Here is a 24,359-nt window from a genome sequence, read left to right on the forward strand (position 1 = left end):
GCCTGGAAATATCATAAGTTCTAAACACCTTCCATCGCAATCTCATTTTAAATTTTCTGGAGTGTTCTTTTGAACATTTTTTCTAACCAACTCAACATAAAATGATCAGATTTTTTAATGAGCTATTAAAAAATTTATTTTTCTTCAGGATGTTGAATGCTGACTACTGGTCAAGGAAGAGCAAATGTCTGTTCTCTTTGCTTGCTTTTTTTCTGAGACAGAGTCTAGCTCTGTTGCCCAGGCTGGAGTGCAGTGGCACGATCTTGGCTCACTGAAACCTCTGTCTCCCGGGTTCAAGCGATTCTCCTGCCTCAGCCTCCTGAGTAACTGGGAGCCAACCACCACGCCCAGCTAATTTTTGTATTTTTAGTAGAGAGGGGGTTTCACTGTGTTGGCCAGGCTGGTCTAGAAATCCTGACCTCGTGATCCTCCCGCCTCAGCATCCCAAAGTACTGGGATTACAGGCGTGAGCTACTGCGCCTGGGCTGCTTGCTTTTTAAGTTTTAGTTAAAGGAGCTGAGATTATATTTTTTAAAATATATGAAAGTAGACTAGGTGTGGTGACTCACACCTATAATCACAACATTTGGGAGGCCAAGGTGGGAACATAATTTGAGCCCAGGAGTTTGAGACCAGCCTGAGCAACATGAGGAGACCCTGTCTCTACAAAAGAAAATTAGAAATTAGCCAGGCATGGTGGCAAGCACCTGTAGTCCTAGCTACTCAGGAGCCTGAAGTGGGAGGATCCCTTGAGTCATTTGGTCTGGTCAGAAATCTGAATTGGAACTGCAGTTATCCCTAAATAAATCCTTTGAAACCCAAATGAAAACAAACATTCTCTCCCATAAAGTTATCTTCACTCCTTAAATGCAAAAATAGCTTTTTCGCTGGGCGTGGTGGCATGGCCCAGCTAGTCAAGAGGCTGAGGTGTGAGAATTGCTTGAACCCAGGAGTTTGAGGCCAGCCTGGGCAATATAGCAAGCCTCATCTCTAAAAAACAAACAAAGAAATCCCCCAAGATGCTGTCTCCCTGCAGTTATTCTTCTTGTAAATTATTCACTATTTGTTTGGATTTATTTGAACTCCTGCTTTTTGTTTGTTTTCTGTTTTTGCTGTTAAATGGAAAAACTTAAAATCAGATGCTTGGTATCTGCTACCAGCATAAAATAGACTAAGGAGAAAATCCTAAGACACCCTTTTGGATGTTTGTTTTCTAAAATCTATCTATCTATCATCTATCTATCTTTCCATCCATCCATCTCTCTGTATGTAGACTTGTGTGTGTGGGGGGGGGAGGGGGGTGGGTGTTTGTGTGGGTGTTTTTTTATTTGTTCAAAAAAGAAGGAAAAGGATATCAGGGACTCTGCAATGCTTTCCTAGTTGGAGTTCTTCCCTTTTGTATTTACTTCCAACTACCATTTTTGCTAGGGAACTTGATATTCCTAATTCGTGGTTTCATAGGCCAGTGTAGCATAAATCCAGAGAGACATTCAACTCTAATTTCTATGGGGTTAAGCTAAGACCCTGCCCCTTTCTCCTTCCCTTCTCCCAAATGAGGAGGATGTCCACATTTACCTTTGGAGGAGTCTTTCAGTGTCCTCTGAAGCTGGGAAGGCAGAACTGTGGGTGGAGAGGGGAGATTTGCAGGGAATCAAGGTCTGAGATCATAGAAGACTTGTTTTTGTCCTGATTCTGCCCTCAGTGGGCATGTCATCTTAGGAAAGTCACTAAACCTCTTTCTCTAAGCCTCTGTTTTCCCCTCTGTGAAATGAGATTGATAATAATGTTTCTGTTTTGCTTGCAGGGTTACTGTAGAGAGAATGAAGGAAGATGTTATATAAGAAAGCCCTTTGTTAAAGGACTTACTTGCTATGGTTTCCCTTGACCAATAACGATACATACATAGTTGACTTTTTAGGACATGTAATAAAAGACAGTAGGGTATCGCATTTCATAGATGATCATTATGCCTTTCTGCACTAGATGTCAGTAGAGCTCTATGATTCAAAAGGCTCCACTACCTGACCAGGAATAATCTGTTCTTGGAAAATTTTCCAAAGCAAACTCATTGTGTTTTTGCTTATTTTGCATTTCTTACCTAATGGCCATGAATTTGTGTGTCCTCGCCCTGCACCCACCCTCATCCACCCAACTAGAATTCCTCTTTCAGCACAATTTTCTGCTGTGTTGGAGCTTCTCTTTCTTCATTTTCTAGGGAAATTTCTACAAAAACCATTCTTTTTCAAGAGTTTGTTTAGACAATGTGAAAGCCAAAACAGAAAGTCCGAAGGCTATAGGGCAAACTCACAAAACAATTTAGAAGAGTTATTGCAGATGGATTTAGTGCTTTTAAAATTAAAGGTCGCTTAAAAAAAAAACTGTCTGCATTCATGTTTTTTTCACCATCCTGTTGTTGTTGCCATATTTTAGTTTTCCAGCTATGATTTATAATTTAAAAATAGAGCTGAAATACAAGAGTGGTGCTTTCCCTTACCCAGAAATGCTTAGCAGAAGAACCCTCTGTTTTTCAAAATGCTGACTTGTCTCTATAGAGAAGAAAAATAAATCTCTGAGAACCATAGCTCTTTTTGCTTCTTGGAAATAGCTAAAAAGTTCAAGCTAAAGCCTGGCTTTGGACCCATGTCCATCCTTTGGGGACAGTTATGTTCTTTCCAAAAAGTGCAAATTTACTTATGAAGCAGGTCCATGTTTTAACTGGCTTATTCGATCACAGCAGAATTCACTAATTTAATTGCTTCTTTGACTTTCAACGTGAAAATCATTTACCAGCATAAAAATTTTAAAAAGTGCAAGTTGTTGTTAGGATTTTTATCTAAGAATGAAAGGAACTTAAAGTGTCCAGTGTCTGAGATTTTCCAAGATGATCTCTGTTTTACATTCAAACATAGGGATTTAAAAGTTAAATTGCTTTGAAGTGAGACTGAACACCTGATTTATTTTCAAATGCCACTTTAAAAAAATCATTGACATCTATTTACATAAGGCTATTGCCAATTTAAAGAAAGACACAGAGGCAAAATTAATATAGAGTTGATTTGGGCCAAGGTTGATGACTTACCCTGGGAAACACTGGGAATTGCTTCAAAGAACAAAGGAGAGACTCAAGTTTTCAAAGAAAAAAGGACAAATCAGGAGAAGGGTTGATTACAAAACTTGTTTTTTAGGAATTCTCATTGGTTTACAGAAATAACATTGACTCCTGATTGGCTATACATTGTTGAACTATAGGGTGTGAATTATGATGTCCAGCACATAACATTGTTGGGTTAATTTATGGCTACTCAGTGGCGACGCTCAGTCTAGAGCCCATATAGCAGGGAGATTACTTAGCTCCAGGGTGAGGAGTGAGATGTGACTGCTGTCACATTTCATTGCCCCTCTGGGCCTGATCATTTAAAGGGGCTCACATTCTTTAAATAAAAAGTTTCTTTTATTTCTCACTTTTCAACAGTTTTATGTTCCACTCTGTGCAAATTATTGTTTTTTGAATGAAAATGAGTTAATCATTTTTATTGAGCATCTATTATGAGATAGGTACTGTGCTAGAAGTTGAAGATAAATAATGAGCAAACCTAGCTGTCTTGGAGCCTACAGTCTAGTGGGGAACAAAAATATAATCCAGTAACCACAGAAACAAATGAAAAATTGCAAATCTAAGCTCCCTCATCTTTGTTTCTGCTTATTTATTTTTAAGTACTTATCACCCTCTGACATTTATATTTATTTGTTTTTTTTTATTGCCTGTTTCCCATCGTAGAATGTCAGCTTCATAAAAGGAGAGATTTTGTTCTGTTCAACAATGTTTCCTGAGTACCCAGAACAGCATCTGACACAGGTGCTCCATAAATATTAGTTGAACGAAGGCATTAATAAGAAGTACTCAGTGTTATGAGATCCTAGACTAGAAGAAGTTGATCACATCAGCGAGGTTAAGAAAGGCTTAACTGCAGAAGGGATGCTTGAGTTGAGAAGTCAGCAATGACCAGGCTGAGAAGGGAGAGAAGACCATTCAAGGCAACATGGGCAAAGACCTCATGGCAAGGGGGAGCATGAAAAAGATAAGAAACAGAAAGAAGGCTTGAGAGGCAGAAGAAGAGAGACTGAGCAAAACAGGATTGCAAAGTGAAATAGGAAAGGAAGGGAGGGGCTAGACCTTGCAGATTCTCATAGGCAGAATTAAGAAGTTATCCTTATTCTAAAAACAATGAAAAGTCATTTGAGTTTTTTAAGCGGGGATGAGGGGTGGAAGGTGATGACTTAATTAGATTTGAAAAGATTACTCTGACTTCAGTGTGGTGAATGGACTGGAGGGTGGTCCAGAGTGGAGGTTGCAAGCCTGGCTAAAAGGCAGTGGTTGAATTGAGTGATGGGAGTAGTTTGAACTTGAGTGCTGGTGGTGAGGATTGGAATAGGTGGATGCAGAAGTCGATGAGTCCATAGCAATTTAAGAGGTAAAACCAATTAGACTAGGTGAAGTGTTGGATAAAGAGTGAGAGAGAAGGAGGTATTAAGGTTGAGCTGAAGTTTAGGGCTTGGACAATGTGGGATGGTGGTGCCATTCAATGAAATAGGAAACCCTGGAAAAATATGAGGTTTGGCAGGAAACATGATGAGCTCAGTCTTAGTTCAGTTTAGATAGGTTTCTTTGGGGCATCCAAGAGGATATATTAAGTTGAAGATGGTCTGAAGCTTGGAAAGCCTGGGCTGGGGCTACAAATACACGATCATTCCACAGATAGTAATTGAAATCGTGGGTTAGAGACTAGACTGGAAAGTGGAGAGGATTGTTTGATATAAAGATATCTGGTTTTAAAGAAAAGGATGAAAACACAGAATGCAGACAGATAAAGCTCTGACGTAAGTGAGTAGGCCTGGGCTATCCATGCCCACAGCTGAAAAGCATTAAATGAGATTTGATGCTAACTTGGTAGAGCATTCAATGAGCCACAGAGAGCAACCTATTAGACCTATCGGACCTTTCTAGATTCAAGCATCCCTGAGAATCAACTTCCTCTTCCTCATGAGACAGAAGACAAAATCTCATGGTATTTTCACCTTGATAAAGTACTTTTACCAAGCCCGTATTTTAAACATTATTTCTTTATAGTATGTGTATATATATTAAAAAATAGACCCACTGTTGTATTTAATCATCTATTAATTTTTCTTTCTTTTTTTTCTTTTTTTTCAGATTGTGATTTAGGTCTATTCTATTATTATTATTATTATTATTATTATTATACTTAAAGTTTTAGGGTACATGTGCACAATGTGCAGGTTACATATGTATACATGTGCCATGCTGGTGTGCTACACCCATTAACTCATCGTTTAGCATTAGGTATATCTCCTAATGCTATCCCTCCCCCCTCCCCCCACCCCACAACAGTCCCCAGTGTGTGATGTTCCCCTTCCTGTGTCCATGTGTTCTCATTGTTCAATTCCCACCTATGAGTGAGAACATGCGGTGTTTGGTTTTTTGTCCTTGTGATAGTTTACTGAGAATGATGGTTTCCAGCTTCATCCATGTCCCTACAAAGGACATGAACTCATCATTTTTTATGGCTGCATAGTATTCCATGGTGTATATGTGCCACATTTTCTTAATCCAGTCTATCATTGTTGGACATTTGGGTTGGTTCCAAGTCTTTGCTATTGTGAATAGTGCCACAATAAACATACGTGTGCATGTGTCTTTATGGCAGCATGGTTTATAGTCCTTTGGGTATATACCCAGTAATGGGATGGCTGGGTCAAATGGTATTTCTAATTCTAGATCCCTGAGGAATCGCCACACTGACTTCCACAATGGTTGAACTAGCTTACAGTCCCAGCAACAGTGTCAAAGTGTTCCTATTTCTCCACATCCTCTCCAGTACCTGTTGTTTCCTGACTTTTTAATGATCACCATTCTAACTGGTGTGAGATGGTATCTCATTGTGGTTTTGATTTGCATTTCTCTGATGGCCAATGATGATGAGCATTTTTTCATGTGTCTTTTGGCTGCATAAATGTCTTCTTTTGAGAAGTGTCTGTTCATATCCTTTGCCCACTTTTTGATGGGGTTGTTTGTTTTTTTCTTGTAAATTTGTTTGAGTTCATTGTAGATTCTGGATATTAGCCCTTTGTCAGATGAGTAGGTTGTGAAAACTTTCTCCCATTTTGTAGGTTGCCTGTTCACTCTGATGGTAGTTTCTTTTGCTGTGCAGAAGCTCTTTAGTTTAATTAGATCCCATTTGTCAATTTTGGCTTTGGTTTCCATTGCTTTTGGTGTTTTAGACATGAAGTCCTTGTCCATGCCTATGTCCTGAATGGTAATGCCTAGGTTTTCTTCTAGGGTTTTTATGGTTTTAGGTCTAACTTTTAAGTCTTTAATCCATCTTGAATTAATTTTTGTATAAGGTGTAAGGATAAAAAGATGTATAAAGTGATATTATTTCTTGAGCATTTAAATAAAAATCTTAAATAGGCAGTTGACCAGACACTTTAAAATTAACATTTATAATCATAGCATACATTAATTGAGGGGTTACTATGAGCCAAGTACAGTTCTAAGGGCTTTACAAGAATTACTTCTTTATTCCTGTGTAACCCTGGCAGGTAGTTAATATCATTCCCATTCGACAGATGAAGAAACCAGCACAGCAAGGTCAGGTAACTTGACCAAGGTCACACAGATAACAAGTGGTAGAGCCATGATCTGAACCCAAGAAGTCTCCTTTGGAAGCAATGTTATAACTACTGTGCCAGGCTTTATCAAAAATTTACCATGTACATGTTTTGTTTTGCATTTTGGAGAAAACACAGAACCTTTAGTAAGTCTCTTATGAACCACTTGGTGGTTTGCAGATGCTGGTAAGCATTAAAAATCTATTTAGGCCTGCAACCTGGTACCTGACTCAAATTCCCCTTGGATTGTCTGGGATGAAACAGCCCAGAAAGGCCCTGGATCCATTGTGGCTTGTGGAATAATACGTGATACCTTGACTGAGTTTTAATATAATGTTTTGGGGCCTGTTAGTCATAGTCGAGAGATCATTTTCTTGACTCAAAACAGGGGTGTGTCCAGACATGAGGGCACAGGAAAAACATTTAGTAAAATTCCCCTTAAAAAATGAAGGTGGAAGATTTGATGGTTTATGTCATTTGGCCAAACTTTGGAGTAGATGTTGCAGCCAATGTTTAAATAACACCTCCAATCCTAACAACCAAAAGGGCAGCGACCCTTTTTCTGATACCACTACTCTCAGGTGTTGATCTGTAGCCCTCCTCTGGGCACGATGGTGACATCATGCACTCTCGGGAGGCACAGGAAACCCACTGATCCTGCTCCTTTTCTCTGTGATTTTTCCTTTGGTTCCTGTTTCCTGCCACACTCCCTCCCCTTCATCACAGCTCTCAAATCCTGCCACGTCTGCTCACTCCTCCAGCCGCAGTATTTGGCAAGGAAACGAAAATGGAAATTAATTTGAATTTTGATTCAGCATAAGGACTTCATTTCTGATTTCTGGTCACTCATCATCTGATGAATGGTAGGAAGAGAAGACAGAAGAGTTTCTGAACAGTAGGCTAAATTTTGAGAGCAACCAGGATGACCTAAAGATTCTGTAATTCATTCCTAAATTTGTTCTAGAGCCTTCCCAATTCAGTAAAAATAAAAACTTTTAAAATGATAATAAAGGTTAATATTGATCGAGTGCTTACTGAATGCTAGGAACACCTGAATGTTTAATAAGTATTATGTCTTTTAGTCTTCACAATATCCCTAGGAGGTAGGTAACATGGTCTACCCTCCACCTCCTTCTTTTTCAGTTGAGGAAACGAATGCAGGGACAGGTTAAATAATTTGTCCAAGTTCATGAGGCTAGTTAATGTTGTCAAAAGACAAAATTACAACAAATGTAGTGTAAATATCTCAATTGGCTTTACTTGCAATTCTAGAATCAGGCAACATTTCATGCCACAACATAGAATAAGTGTTCCTTCCAATGAACTGGGCTAATGGGGTTGACATCAGGGCTGAAGAAAATGGAAGTAAAGAGCAAAGAGTGTATCAGTTCTTTCAAAGCTACTTTGCTTGCAAGTGGGGAAGAGGAAGACAGAACAATAGAAAAATAACTGATTAGTTAATATCAGGTTACTTTAGGCCACCTAAAATGTGTAAGGATTAAAGCAGAGAGAACATCACTGCCATGCAGACTGAAGATTTTAAACTGGCCTGTTTGAGAAATTGGCTGTTATTTCTCCTCATAGCATTAGATAACAACTTACTTTCTTTTTGGCGATGTGGAATCTCACCATGGGTGACTCCATTTTTATTTTTAGTCTTGTCTGTTGGGGCCTCTTGCAGGAGTTTAGTCCAAAACAATGGCATTCTATAATTTTTATGTGACAATATCTAAGCCACAATTTGCACACATGAATTTACACAATTCACACTTCAGAGTCTGGCCTCCTGACCACTATGAGTGTTCACTTACAAACATGTGGACCTGAAAAGACACAATTCACCCTCTTCTCACAAACCCTAGGGAGGAAGGAGTTGGTCAGAACATATGGCGCACCCAGTGGGCCTTGTCCTAGTCCACTTGGGCTGCTGTAACAAAGTAGCATAGACGGGGTGGCTTATAAGCAACAGACATTTATTTCTCAGTTTTGGAGGCTGGAAGTTCAAGATGAGGGTCCCAGCATGGTCTGGTTGGGTGAGGACCCTCTTTCAGGTTGCAGACTGCCAACTCTTTGTTGTATCCTTGCCTGGTGGAAAGAGAGAGCTCCCTGGGGCCTCTTTAATGAGGGCACTAATCCCATTCATGAGGGCTGCACCCTCATGACCTAATCACCTCCTAAAGGCCTTACCTCCTACTACCACGACATTGATGGTTAGGATTTCAACATAGGAGTCTTGGGGGAACACAAACATTTGGATCATTGCAGATCTGAAGTGCACAATAAGAAATAACTAAGAGTAGGGGGCAGGATAGAGGGAACAAAGGAACCAACACTTCTTGGAAGAAATAGTGGGCAGTGCTGACTCTACTGCAGGTGAGGTAGAATGGTCACATTTTGGGATAGTTTGCCTAAATTTCACAAAGTTTAATTGAGTGAAGAATGTTTCACGGGCAGCTCCCAGAACCAGAATATGCTCAGACAGACTGCAGCACTATCTTTTGGTGGGAGTGGATTTATGGACGGAGAAAGCAAAGTGACTTACAGAAATCAGAAGTGATGGGCAGAAACAGCTGAATTGTTTACAGTTCAGCCTTTGCTTTATTTGAACACAATTTGAACAGTTGGCCACCTGTGATTGGCCAAAACTCTGGGATTGACACAAGAGTAGGTTACAGTCTGTTTATATATCCAGTTAGGTTACATATCCAGTCTGTTTACACATCCACTAAAAATATGTAAGGAAGCAGCCCTAGGCTATAAACTTGATTGAGCAATTCCCCTCTTTTGGTCAACCTCTCAATTTTGAGGTTGACCAAAACTTTAGGCATCATCTCCATCATAAGTGGACTTGTTTGGTCTCAAATCTCATTGGGAAATAAAACAGTGGGTTTTGTAAAGCAGGAATAAGAAAACAGAACAAGAGAAAAAAATGATTACTTCTGGTTACTTTTTTGTAAGGGTTAGAGCAGAGGAAACTTTATTATGAAATTATCTGTCTTCAGGAGACAAATAAACAACTTGTCTGTGTTGAGATCTATCTGCTTCCTTAAAGTTTCAGTTTGACTATGTTGCATTTAGCATGAGTGGCTGCATTTTGATTTGGTCTGTTAGGGCCCAGTACAGGAGCTCAGTCCAGAACAGTGGCCTCCCATAATTTTGTTTAACATTTGTACATTATTTCCCTTCTTCTATATATGGGTTAGAAGATCATATGATACCATCTTTGAGGGAGGGAGGGGAAAAGAGGTTACTCACTTGACAATAGGAGCAATCTTATCCCCTACTAAGAGAGATCCTGAAGTACCCTACCCACTCTGAACTGTTCTGTGGTGTCTGGGGGTGCTGAAATCTACACTTATCATTTCCAGATACAAGATACCCAGTTAGATTTGAATTTTGGATAAGCAACAAATAATTTTTAAGTACAAGTGCATCCCAAATATTGCACAGGACATACTTATGCTAAGAATTATTCATTGTTTGTCTGAAATTCAAGTTTAACTGGGTGTCCTGTATTTTTATTTACTAAATCTGGCAAATCTACCCCCACTCACTGTCCTGCTGGAGCCCCAAAGTATGTAATTATGAACTGAGTAACACAGGCCTGTATGGCTGAGTGGGAGGACCCATCTCCTGGATGAAGCAAATGCTGTGGGAAAGGGGTGGAACCTCCCAAGGCTTGGTTAGATGATATCCAGCAGTGGTTAGAACCTGGAGTTGTTCTTTCAAGAGGTGACTAGAGGCAGAGGACAATGAAGTAAGGTCAGAAACCACGTTATCCTGTGAAATGTTGCTTTCTTGAACCGGAATAGAGTCCATATTTATGTCACGTTCTAGCTTTTTTCTCCTATCATGCCGTTTTCTCTAGCTTGCCTGTAACACAGTCCTAAGGTCTTATGTTGGTAGAGCGTGGAGAAGAAAGAACAGGGCAGTGAAGGAAAACGGTCCTGCCTCATACCCAACATGGTGCTTCTGTGGAGGGAGGGCTTTTCTCCCTAGGGGACTAGGTTTAGAGGTCCCAGGCACACAGGTTCAGGTCGTGACTGGAGGCAGTGGGGCAGAGAACGTGATGCACAAGGAATTCACTGGAGCATCTGCTTGGTGAACTCCATGTGAGGGACATAAGATAAACCATTCTCTCTCTTAATTACCATAAAAGAATACGGCATGTGGCTGTGGCTTAGATTATCTATGCCTTTGAAATCTGTACTGTGTAAATCAAAGGGATCTTATCAAGGCCACTTTCATTGTGGTAACATCCAATCCTGGCATTATAAGCTCTCAGAACAGGATCACGCCAAATCTCTTCTATGAACACACCACCTGCCCTGTTTTGTTCAATCCATCTCTCTTGATCCTTTGTGCGATGTTCTTCCTGTAGCTGGGGTAGGCTTAGCTTGGTGCTCCATTCTCTTGGCTTTCTCTCATGAATAAGGCAGATTTTTAAAAAAATTTTGTTTTTAATTTTTGTGGGCATGTAATAGGTGTATATATTTATAGGGTATAAACAAGCACATAATGTATAATAATCACATCAGGGTACATGGGGTATCCATTACCTCAAGCATTTATCCTTTGTGTTACAAATAATCCAATTATATTCTTTTAATTATTTTAAAATGTACAACTAAATTATTATTGACTACAGTCACACTGTGGTTCTAGAAAATACTAAGTCTTATTCATTCTTCTATTTTTTGTCCCCATTAACCATGCCCACTTCCTCTCTCCCTCCACACTACCCTTTCCAGACTCTAGTAACCATCCTAGTTACTCTAGTAACTCTCTGTCTCCATGAGTTCAACTGTTTTCATTTTTAGCTCCCACACATGAGTGACAACGTGAGAAGTTTGTCTTTCTGTGCCCTTCATGGTAATCTGACTTTGAATAAGGCAGATTTGAATGGGCCTGATGTTTATCTCAAGTGGAATTTTGCTTTGTCTCTGGCATATAATAATAAACTTAATAAATCCTTCTCCCTGTCTCTCTCTCTCACTCACTCTCTCTCTCTCTCCCTGTTTCTCTGTGTGTGTGTGTGTGTGTGTGTGTGCGTGTGTGTGTGTGTTTTATGTGTAAGTAGATGAATGATAGAATCAAGGGTAGAGTTCATGGCATATCTCAAACCAAACCACAGGACATTTACTTTCAAGATGCTAATAGCCTCCATTAGGCATAAGTACATCCAAAAATCATGGGAACATTCTTACGAATTTAGTCCACCAGTATTTCTCCCCCGAGTACTGTCATGATGGCAAACACTAACTCCTTGTTTTAAAGGTCAGACATTCTGAATTGCCCTTCACAATCATGAAATAGGACATAAACGTTAGGCATTTGAAAAATTATTCTGTTTTAGAGAAAAACAACCAGATTGTGCACCTTTGCCCTTCGTCGGTGCATTTTCAAGTGGAATATTAAGCTGCCCACTGGACTGCATCCTAAGCACACCCACTTAGATTATAAACATTCAGAAAATTGCAGGCTTTTACCATCTAATTGGCAGTGCTTTTCTGAATAAAACTATATCAGGCCACATGCCACGTTCACTCCAGTTGGCAAGGAATCAAAAGGCAGAAACACTCCCAGCAGTGACCACAGCTCTGCTCCATTAGGTGGAGAAATGGGATTTCCTGATGACCTTTTGTTTCCCTAAGCATCTCAGTTGCAGTCGGGCTGATTTCATACACCAGGTTATTCATCAGAATGGAAAGATTTCATTCTTTGATGTGTTCCTGAAGTGTAGCCAGCATCATCTGATGCCAAGAAGAGAAATTACCAAGTTGGAATTGTGCACTCAGCAGGAACAAGCCTCACTGAGTGTGGGTCTCCTGTCACAGCCAATACTTTCTCCAGGTCCTTTGTTCTCGCAAATCCTACAGCTTAGGTTCAGGCATTTTTTTCCCTCCCAATCGTCACTCAGTAAAAATATATCATGTGTCAACTGACAAGCAGATATGGGGAGATGATCATGATAAACTGTTAAATGAGAAAAGCAGGTTATAAACATTATGCAGTGCATGATGCCAAATTTGCAAAACAAACACATCAATATACACAGAAGAAAAGCTGTTACTAGAGATTATCTCTGTGTGGTGATATTTATTAGGTTTTTGTTTGCTCCTTTTCTCTTATTGGTATTGTCTACATATATTTGTTTCTTTATAACAAGTAAAATAAATTAATTAGCAAAAGTGGAAAAATCTGCTATCCTTGTAGCCAGTTTCAAATCTTACCTTTTCCCAGAATCTTTCAAGATATTCCTAACTGGAAGAAATAATGCCCTTATCTAAACGTAGAGAGAAAACATGTAGGATGCATGGAATTGCATCTATGCCTCTGTAACAATACTTGCTACTTTCTCCCTTGAAGTACAGTGTGTAAGTATTGTCTCCCATAGTAGACTGTAAGTACTTGGATAACAGGAACTATGCCGGAGACTTTTTCTACCTCTTACAACATCTAATGTCCAACTCCACACTATGCCTGTTGTAGGCAACCATTAAATATATTTTGATTGAATGATTACACATATTTTGGAGCACAATCTGTGTTTCTGAAAGATTCCATCAACATCTATTCTCTCAAAATTAAAAATGCAATTTTTTAACAAAATAACTTTGAGATTTAAAAACATTACATAGGTATTTTGCTGTGGCTAATTTATGCAAAAATAACAAAATCCACGTTACTAAATATAAGATGCATTGGTATTACCTCTGAGACTCCAGAAAATAGTCACTTCGAGAATTATAGGTTTTTTAAGGTTTATTTCTGGATTTCACAAACCACAGATACTGCTTTTCATTTCCCAAAACTCTTAATAGTTCCTGAAGTGCTAAGAAATATGTCAAAAATTCCAAAGAAAAGCCGAGAAAGGATGGAGTGAAATTTACTGTGTAATTATTTTTTATAAAGGAATCATGATCGGTGACTTATTTAGTGTGTTGGCTTCAACCTAGCAGAATCCCTAGAAGACAATCACAGATTTATCTAACATGTGCATGGTAAGACATAGAAACAGGCCAAGGCATTTATGTGCAGGCTTAGCAGAGGGGAAAGATAGGCTATGATCTGTGTTTTCCCATAATGAGGCAAAGACTCTCTTGCTCAGATTTCGGACTGCTCTCCTCAACATGCACATGAATCCTCATTAAATTTGCATTTCAATTAGCTCCTGAGAGCTGCAGAACGTGTTTCAAATATTCCTTCATCACATCACTCTCAATCCAGCCTACCTACCTCTTTGACTCCCAGCTCCAGCAAAGGTGGATGTAACTTTCTCAACTCAAGTATTGTATTGAAATATCAGACGGCAAGTTCTGATTCTTTTATAATTTGTATTTATTCACAAACTCAACAAACACACATGGAATACCTATGTGCCAGGCTAGTTGTTATGGATAGAGCAGTGAACAAGGCATTATACCTGCCCTTAGACAGCTTCCAGGTCAGCAAGGGAAAGCAGATATCCAAGTAAATACCCAAATAGATATTCATCACCATTGTCATAAGCCCTATGAAAGAAAAGGATGCTAAGGAATTACAGTGAACAATTAACATTTCTGAACCAATCTGAGGAGTCAGGGCAGGCATCTCTGAGGAAGCCAAGCCCTTCTGGGTGAATTCAGAATATCCTATGTGGAAAACACAGCACATGTGAGGGCTCTAAAGCCAAGAGGGTGGAGCATTCTAGGAACTGAGAAGGGCTGGTGAAGTCATCTGAAGCCTTGCAGGTCACATAAGAGAGCAGGAATTTATCTACAGAGCATTAGAAAGTCCTGAAAGGCTATGTAGCAAGACAGAGTAATGCCTCCAGATTTGCAGCTTTTAACCAGGAAACGAGGGGCTAGAAGGCCACTATGTGGGAGACTGTTTCAGTTGTTTGCAGTCATCCAGGTGAGAGGCTGTAGGGCTGCAAGCAGCTTGTAGTGTAGTGGAATTAAAGATGGAGGGAGGTGAAGGATTCAAGATATGTTTTAGAAAATGTTGGCAAAAACCAAAGTCAGAATTTATGTCACCATCTGTAAGATGTGAAGTTAATGCTGGGCAAAATAAAATATTTCAACCATATTTTTGTTCATTTTAATTTCATGAGTTTATGAGACTATAGACTTCCCTGAATATAAGTATATATTCCATAGCTAGTCTTCAAAACCCTCTAGGAGGACACTATAGATAACCACTACTAGAAGTCATGTTTTTAAGTTAAGTCAGTGGTGTTGAGCCCCAATTATGTGGAATGCCCTCTGTGATATTAAAAAAAATATGTGATCGTTGTCCTCAAGGGGCTCTGACAGTAAATGGGATCTCTTTGAGACAGAAGCCATAAATGCCAGGAACTGAATCTGGATATCATGCCATAATTCCCAAATGGAATTAGAAAGAGGAACTAGAAAAAGGAGGCCCAAACAAGCAGTTGAAAAGATGAGAAGAGAACCAGGTATTACCACCCAAACTGGGAGGACAGAGCTTGAAGATGCAGAGATGGCTACCAGAGCCTTAGGCTGAGCTGGCAAGGAAAAAAGTGAACAAAGCCATTAGGAAGAATTTGGTGACTTAAGACAGATTCATGACAAGAGAACAGAGAAGACAGAAGCCAGTGCAGTAAGCCCAGAGAGAGGAGAAGATGAGGAAATGAACACAATTGTGGACTAATCTTTGATTGATTCATTCATTTACATTTGCCTTGTTCCAGAAAGATTTAAGGAGGCTTCCAGGGATTCAAATATACGGAGGAAAATGTAAATTAGAAGAGGAATAAGAGGAGAAAGAAAAACAAATGTGGTGTTCTAAAATGAAGCCAAGATTAGGAATTAGGTCAAAGAAAATGAACTCAACAGCTGCAAAGGGCTACACAACCCCTTTATCTAGCCCTTACTCTCTTTACTCTATTGTTATCTTGGTTTCTTTCCATTTTAAAATTCAGATTGTGCTCCAAACTGCATCAATTAGTCCACACTTCATGTGTTTCTGCTATTTGAAAGGCATCCTTAGTTATAAGATGGACAGAATTAGCATTTAGTCTTCATGTAAACTCATCATCATTCCTTAAAAGGCAAACAAAGCTTATGCCCCTCAAACACAGGTCACTACCGCCTCCTGTGAAAATAAAGGGTGGCACATTTTGGGGGTAATATGCAGTTCTTCAGTAACCAGAATAGGATGGGAAGTGGAGTTGTTCTATGTCTAAGTAACAATCTGAACTTAGACCAAAGAAAGAAAGCCATGGAGAAGGAAGAGCCACAGCAGCACAACATGGCAATCCTTGCCATGTGGTTCCTGCATGCTGCCCCAACAGACTGCAAAATCTCTTAAAAGCTCAACTGTGTTCCCTTCCTGATGCCTGGTTTGTGGAAGGTTTGCAAAACAAATATATATTGAACAGTAGAAAGAAAAGTGTGCCTTTTGGCTCCAATGAGCCTTTAAATAGTTGTGAATGTTGAAATGAAACATGTAGCTTCTCCAGGATTCAGTTTTCTTGTCTGTGAAAATAGGGTGTATGTAACAGAAATTGCTAATTGTCAGGCAATATTCATGCTCATCTTGTAATGGATGAGATGAATGTTATTCTAAGGTTAATATGCCTCTCCTCCTAGCTGCTCTCCTGGGATTTTGTGGTCTGACTCATCAGAGAATTCTGCCTTAAACTCAAAAAGAGCCTCAGGTTCACACTGAATCCTACAGTTAGGAAGGGGTGACAGCTCACCAATACTGAAGGTCAGGTGTGCAACAACAGATTAACCACATATGAGTAACTAAGAGCTGTCCTGGCACAGGCAACCTAAGTTTGTAACCCTTGCTTTAAGCAACTTGCTAACCAGAGCTACTTGGAGAAGAAATAGCTGGTATGGTCAGCTTGTAGTGCTCAGGACATAAAAGGGACTTCATAGCTTTACGAAGAGATGTTGAGGAGTAAATTAAAGAATATTGTCATTAATTATTATATCAATTCTTTAAAAACTGTCCTTTGATATTTTGTTCTTTGAAAATGTCCTTTGAAAAATATTATGATACAGAGTGTACCCTTAACAAATGATAAGAAAAAAATATTGTTATTTTGAAAAAAAGGGAAGGACTTTATAATAATAACATCGAAGAATCTTGATTTCAATAAATAAAAAGATTGTCCACTATTATAGTGGAATATTTCTTTCACCCAAGGAATATAAATATTTTTTCTCCCAGACCCACCACACAAAAGGATCTACAAAGTATCCTTTCAAAAACATATTGCCCTAATGTTTATAAAATACAATTCAATGTACAGAAGTTAAAATTGAAATACATACTACCTATCACAATGTCCAAAAATGAATGAATAACTCAAAGTACTTTTCTAACTAACATGAGTAAGCTATTTACATGATTTATGAAAAACTACATACCATGTGAAAGAACTTGACCTTATATGGCTAGCTATTTGGTGTGAAAACCACCACCACCAACAGCGTTTTCAGAACCAACCCTCACTGCAGATTATTACATGCCCTGTGTGAATCTCAAATTTCTCCTGCAAAAGCAAGAGAGTTTTCACAGTTCTGAAGGGGGATATCTCTCTAGTTACCTACTCCAATAGATAGCATTAAATACGTACACACCTTCCTCAAGATTAGGGAATGACCAAAACCAACTTAACTGGAATGAATTCCCTGTTAGGTGGAGGCTCAGCCAGCCATTTAGGAGCCAGGTGAATGATACTGGGCATCTGTTAAATGAAATCAGGGTCAGGTGTTTGTATACTTACCTGTGTTATCAATGCTTATTCAAGATGTTGTGAACTCTCAGCAAAATCATTCCATTCTTAGGAGGGTGCAGCTTTGAAAGCATGTAAACACACACCTTGGTCTTTTCCAGTCTTTCCTATTCACCCTGAGTTAGCACTAGCTTTTGGCTTCTGCTCTGTGTAAAATTTGGCTCTCAAGCCAGAGATGAAGTCATGCTACTGGCTTTATAAGCTATTGCAGCTGCACAATGTCCCTAGAGACCCTCGTTCCCTTTCAGAGTGAGAACATGTGTCTGCGGAGCTGTGAGCTACACTAGTCAGTTCTTAAGGTGCTAGAGAATGGCCTTCTTTCCCAGTGGCAACCTTCATTCTTCACAAAGGTTGGTCTCCAGGCTTCCATGCCAGCAGGGTGCTCCAAAACCACCCCAGGGTTTTTCTTAAGGCCCCACTCTGTGTGGTTTTGGAGGCAAGGTTAGCACTTGTTCCATCTGTATCCTGTTAATTGCTCTAAAGCTGGAGCCTCATGGGGCTAGGTTCCCAATGAATGAGACATGCACATAAGTGCTCACATAGAAAATGAGTTTGGGATTCCTCCTGGTCCATTCTGTACCCTCAGTTGGAAGGCAAAATAAATCTATTTTTCTCCTGTCTTTGAAATTAGTCAATTAATTACTATAAAGCAGTGAACAAAGTGGTCCTCTGGAGGAATTCATGTAGCAAAAGAAGATGAAAGGACTGGGATGAGATAAGGACAATGGAAGAGGATGACAAGAGTCATCTTCATAATAGGACAAAATGTTATAAAGCTTTGACAGAGAGCTATTTCCTTAAGTAGCTATTAGTGTCACACAACTATTAATATGGAATTAAGAATATACAGCTGTAAACATGTGACATTATAATATACTAATGTAATTTAAATTAAAACAAAAATGGAATTTTAAATATATTAATAGAATATTGGTTTTAAACATGTCTACTTATACACTTGTTATATTGTTCTATATATTTTAAAAGACTGTACACTTAGAGGAATCCTTAGATGATTTTCAAGTCAGTGTGCTTCCTCTCTGCCACTTCTTTTTTTTTTTTTTTTTTCTGACACAGAGTCTCACTCTGTCGCCCAGGATAGCGTACAATAGTGTGATCTTGGCTCACTGCAACCTCTGCCTCCCGGGTTCAAGTGATTCTCCTGCCTCAGCCTCCCAAGTAGCTGGAATTACAGGTGCCCACCACCACATTTGGCTAACTTTTTGTATTTTTAGTAGAGATGGGGTTTTGCCATCTTGGTCAGGCTGGTCTCAAACTCCTGACCTCAGGTGATCCACCCACCTCGGCCTCCCAAAAAGCTGGTATTACAGGCGTGATCCATCGCGCTTGGCCTCTCCCACTTTCTTAGGGTCTAATTTTATGAGGTAAATCTCTTTCAGAGATAACCCTCCTAGGAAAATGAAAGAAGGAGGAAAGAGATCAAGAAGCAGTGGGTCTAAGAGGAACTGAAAAGTAAAGTTAACTCGCCATTGCCTTCCTCTTCTCTCAGGTATGGGGTACAGAGATCATGGAAGAAGGAGCCAAATGTGACTTATCTGAGAGCTTGTATGACTATTCCTTCTCACCCTTTAAATGATTAGTAGGCTATAAAGGAGTGTGCATTTTGGAGTAGGCTTTTTTTTTTTTTTTTTTTTTTCACTAAAAAAGAGCACAGAGAAGGAAGGATAAGGCTTAATGGGTGTGTTACCAAAACACCAGGAGTTTGGTCTAGGTCCTACTGCTGGCTTCACAGAAAGACAATCACTGAGGCAATGAGTATTGCAAAGGAAGAAATCTTTAATCAGGTCCTGTAGCCAAGGAGATGAAAGATCAGTCTCAAATCCATCTCCCTGCCTGACTAAAATTGCGGGTTTAAATAGCAGGGAAGAAATGTAACCATGTGTGGGAAGACAGGAATAAGGGCAGGGTAAGGAAGAGGAGTTGGTCAATAGGAAGCAGATGGTCAGTTAGGCAATCATGACGGGTGAGGGATCTGATGTCTCATTGTCCAAATGCAGTGATCTAATGAGTTTCAGCTCCTTGATACTATCTAGGAGTCCTGATGGTTGGTTTTCTGAGAAAGGAACTCAGATAAGAAAAATTAAGCTTTCTTAAGTTTTAAGACTGGGAGGATCAATTTCTATGTTTATTCAAAGGAATCATAACCATCAGTTCTATGGGACATGAGTTGGTTTCAGATTTATTATCAAAGAAAGGGCAGATAGGCAGGAAGGTGGTTTGGTTGGACACATTTGGGCTTTGGGTGGAACTGGTCTTAGGATGTTTCCAGAAGAGATTAGCATTTGAGTCAGTAGGTTTGAGTAAAGAAGATCTGCCCTCACCAAGGTAGGTGAGCATCAACCAATCTACTGAGGACCTGATAGAGCTAAAGGCAGAGGAAGGGCACATTCTCTCTGTCTCTCTCCCCTTGAGGGGGCCTCTTCCATCTTTTTCTGCCCTCAGACATCAGAACTCCAGGTCTTGGGCCTTTGGCACTGGGACTTACAGCAGCAGGCACCCCAGTTCGCAGACCTCCTTATACCATCAGGTCCCCTGGTTCTCAGGCCTCTGGTCTCAGACTTAATTGTACCTCTAGCTTCCCTGGTTTTCCAGCTTGCAGATTGTGGGACTTCTCAGCCTTTGTAGTTGCATGAGCCAATTTCCATAATAAATTTCCTCTTATATCTATAGTCAGCTGAAGAATGACAAGGTTCATAAATAAAAGGACAGCTTTATTTTTCACAAAGGATGGCAGCCTGCAGGGTGGTCGTTCTGACAGGCTGGGAAGTATATGCTCCAGCTAGGAGCCAAAAACAGGTACTCCGAGGTTGAGAATAAGACAGAGATTAATTCTGAGCAGGTTGACAAAAATATGCATATTCAATAAGCTACAGGAGGAGTCACGAATATTTGTGAAAGGAGACATACATGCATGCATAACTGAGCTTCCTGATCCTTCATGGGTCCCATGTTCAAACAATGGTGGCATTAGCATGATCCCAGCGTGGAGTTTTCAGCTGTCTGATGTCAAAAGGTGAAGCAGAGGACATGAAAACCCCCACTGCACATCCTCCGTAGACTGACTAGAAAGTCTCGGTGGTTGTTGGTCTCTTACCAGGAAGAAATGCTGGTCAGCTGTGTCCAAACCACAGAAGAGAGGAGAAGTGGCAGGAGGTTGGTTGATATCAGTGGTGAAGTCTTTTGAAAGGACCGATTTCTGTTTAGCCTTTGGAGAAAAACCTAAATGGAAGTGAGGGAGGGAGGGGTATGACGAGATGTATCTGACCTCCCAACATGGCCAATAACTCAGTTTTCAGGGTTACTCTGTGGTGCCCTTGTCTAAGATGGGATTCATTCAGTTGGTTGGGGGGCTTAGGATTTCATTTTCATTTTTCTCTGTCTATCTATCATCTATCTATCTATCTATCTATCTATCTATCTATCTATCTATCTATATCTATCATCTATCTATCTTTCTAACTATCCTGCTGGTTCTGTTTCTCTGGAGAACCTTGAGTAATCCAAGGAAGTCTCTGGGACTAACTTCATGGGCTCAGTTGGCCACCCCAAAGATGGTCACATCTTTAAGGTGTATTCCATATTCTACCTGTGTTCTTCCAAAGATACTTTGAGATCCTTCAGGAGCTCAGCCTCTTGCAAGAGGGGAACTGGCAACAGATACCATCAGCAGTGTTCATCTGAGCTATAACCAGGAATCACCAAAAGTTTGACTATGAGGATAACTGAAAATCTGCAAAGAAACACACATCCTCTATGACTGGGGGACTGGGAGTTTACTGTCTAATTGACAGGAAGATGCACTAGCAGCAAACATTCTCTTTATAAGAAAAATGCAAAGGCCAGGTGTGGTGGCTCACACCTGTAATCCCAGCACTTTGGGAGGCTGAGACAGGTGGATCACCTGAGGTCAAGAGTTCGAGACCAGCCTGAGCAACATGGAGAAACCCCATCTCTACTAAAAATACAAAATTAGCCGGACGTGGTGGCTCATGCTTGTAATCCCAGCTACTCGAGAGGCTGAGGCAGGAGAATTGCTTGAATCCGGGAGGCGGAGGTTGCGGTGAGCCGAGATCACACTATTGCACTCCGGCCTGGGCAAAAAGAGTGAAACTCCATCTCAAAAATAATTAAATAAATAAGCAAATGAAAAATGCAACTACTTGGAAGAATTTAGTTATCATCAGGCTGAAGCATATGAAATAATGTGGTAAAAGCCATCTTGCTTCAATACCATTTTACACTGAAATAACGTAACTAATACTCCAAAAGCATTTGACTCCAGGCAAAAACGAAGACATCTACTATGCCTCATTACTGGGAAGTATAAATTGGACAGCCTTTTAGAGGACAAGTTGTCAATACAGATCACAAACCTTAAATAACATATCTGTAGCCCTTGCCCCGTTCTACAAGAATGGATGCTGTAGAAATAACCAGACATACCCACAAAGATTTATGGCAGTGATGCTCCTTGTAGTGTGATTTGTAATGCAAAAAAAAAGGCAAAAAATATCTAAATGTTCCAATAATGGAGGATTGCTTAAAAAATTATGATGTACCTGTATATTAGAATGTTAGGCAGCCATATGTTAAAGAAATTAATATAATTATTATTTCAATAAAAATTGTTTTAAATTATCAAAAATAATTTTATAGGAAAAGATGTTATCAGATGAAATAATGTTCTTGATACAGTGTTAAGATTTTATAGTAGGTCACAAACAGTATATAAAGTATGAACCCACTTTGGGGAAAATATCCAAACTATATATTCACTCATTTATGGAGTATCTGAATAGGGAGGATAAAGAATTAAACAAGATAGAGATAAGAAGTCTAATACGATTACGACAAGTTGGAGGAAATATTTAAAATATTAATAGTGATTATTCCTGTGCCATGATATTGTTAGTATCTTTAGTTTTTCGTTGTCTTTCTTATATTTTCCAAAATCAAAGTAAAATGAACATGTACTATTTTAAAGTCAGAAAACAAAGCTATATATTGTTTTACATTGCATATTCAAGAATTCAAAACACAAGAAAAGCACTAATTTATGGGAAAAGGGTAATAGTGGTTTCTTAAAAAGCTTAATATGTCTTTAAACTCCTGGATTGTTTATCTATTTAGTTATTTAATGTGACAGAGTTCTCACCATGTTGCCTAGGCTGGTCTCGAACTCCTGGGCTCAAGCAATCCTCCCACCTCAGCCTTCCAAAGTGCTGGGATTATACCACACCCAGACTCAATACTTCCTAAACTTCTTTGGTTCAGTGGCACACACGGATTCATCTTCTTTTGGTTCCTCAGTATTTCCAGATACTTTTCCCTCTGCTGGAGTGCTCTTCCAGGAATAGAGAGAGATGGTGTCAGTGGGAGGAGAGAAGTGGAAGCAAAGGGCCGCTCTGTAGTCCTGATAGCCAGGTTGGAAGGACCCCCTTCAGACCTAGGTTGGAAGAGGGAACTTGAAATCCTAAGTACTCCTCTCACTCCCATTTCTGTAGTTCATTCCCTCTACCATTTCTTGGGCCCTGTTTCCTCACCTGTAATCAGGGGCTAATAGTCCCTCTCACCCAATAAACTGGTTGCTCTCTCTAAAATACTTTGGGATCTCTCAGTAAATAGTGATGAAAGAAAGCACCATGGGAAGTGATGATGTAGATACCATTTAGCTTGGGCCTCTGGGAACTTTGAGAACAGATACACATATAGATGAGTGAGTGAGTGAATGAATGAATGAATGAATATGGAGTTATCTAAAGAATGTCAAGAGCAGTCACCACTAGAAGAAGAAAATAATGCTGAAAAATATTTTTAGATTCATAAAAACATATTCTTCTTGGTAAGTGGCAGAAATGTATTAAAGCTAAAGCTAAAACAAAGTTTTCTGAAAGGGCAGTTACTAATAAAAAGATAAGCTCTGTGGGTTCTATCGTTCTTTTATTTTCCCCCTCCATTTATTCATCTATTCAACAAATATTCTGGGGTGGTTTTTCTGAGCCCGGCACTGTGCTGGAGCACTGTTTCAAGAGTACAGGAGGCTGAAGTGGCCAGGTTGAGAAGGACTCAGCCATGCAAAGAACTAGAGAGGGAGCACTCCAGGCCAAGGAAACAGCAAGGGCAAAGGCACTGAGGTGGAGACAGGAAGGAGGCTGGTGTGGACGGAGCATTGGTGGAAGGTGCACTGGGCCTCGTCACTTGGGGCCTTGTGAACTAGGGTTCGGGTGGGCTGTTGAGGGACAAAAGAGTCCCTCAGTGGGATGGGTCTGATTTATGCTACTCTTGGGAGAATGGAGGAGGTGTAGAGTGAGCAAGAGCAGAAGCAGAGAGACCTGAGAGGAGGCTTCTGCCACAGCCTTGGCTAGATGACGGGGGCATGAGGTGAAAGTGAGTTAGCCAGAAGACTTGGGGTAAAAGCAGTGGGAAGGCTTCTGGATAGAGGGAATAATCTGTGCAAATAAGAAGAATGCACAGACAAAAGCAATTACAAGGGTTGTAATAAATCCTTGAGAACTCTGGTGAGGATTACAATAAAAGATTTAAATGGTAAATGTACCGAGGATTACATTGAATGCTGTAGGAGAAAGTGGCTCCTGGCAGACACTCAGTCTTAACTTCCTATCCTTTTGTTCCTTCATGATCCCTATCCTGAGTACACACTTCCAAAGTACATTCCCTAAGTATTTAGTGTTAAAAATAACTAGCCATTGATCCACTTTAGATTACATCTCTACTTCATAACACTTTGAATAAGGATATAAAGGAACGTAGATAAATACTGGAGAAGAATTAATGGCATTGCCCACTTCCTTAGAAACTGGAGATAAAAAGTTGGCTGGATCACCCATAAAATCAGCATTTAAAAATTCAATAAAGAAAATAAATGTCAGTTAAA

The sequence above is a fragment of the Homo sapiens genome, chromosome 4, assembly GCF_000001405.40.
Source record: "Homo sapiens chromosome 4, GRCh38.p14 Primary Assembly".
Lineage (NCBI taxonomy): Eukaryota > Metazoa > Chordata > Mammalia > Primates > Hominidae > Homo > Homo sapiens.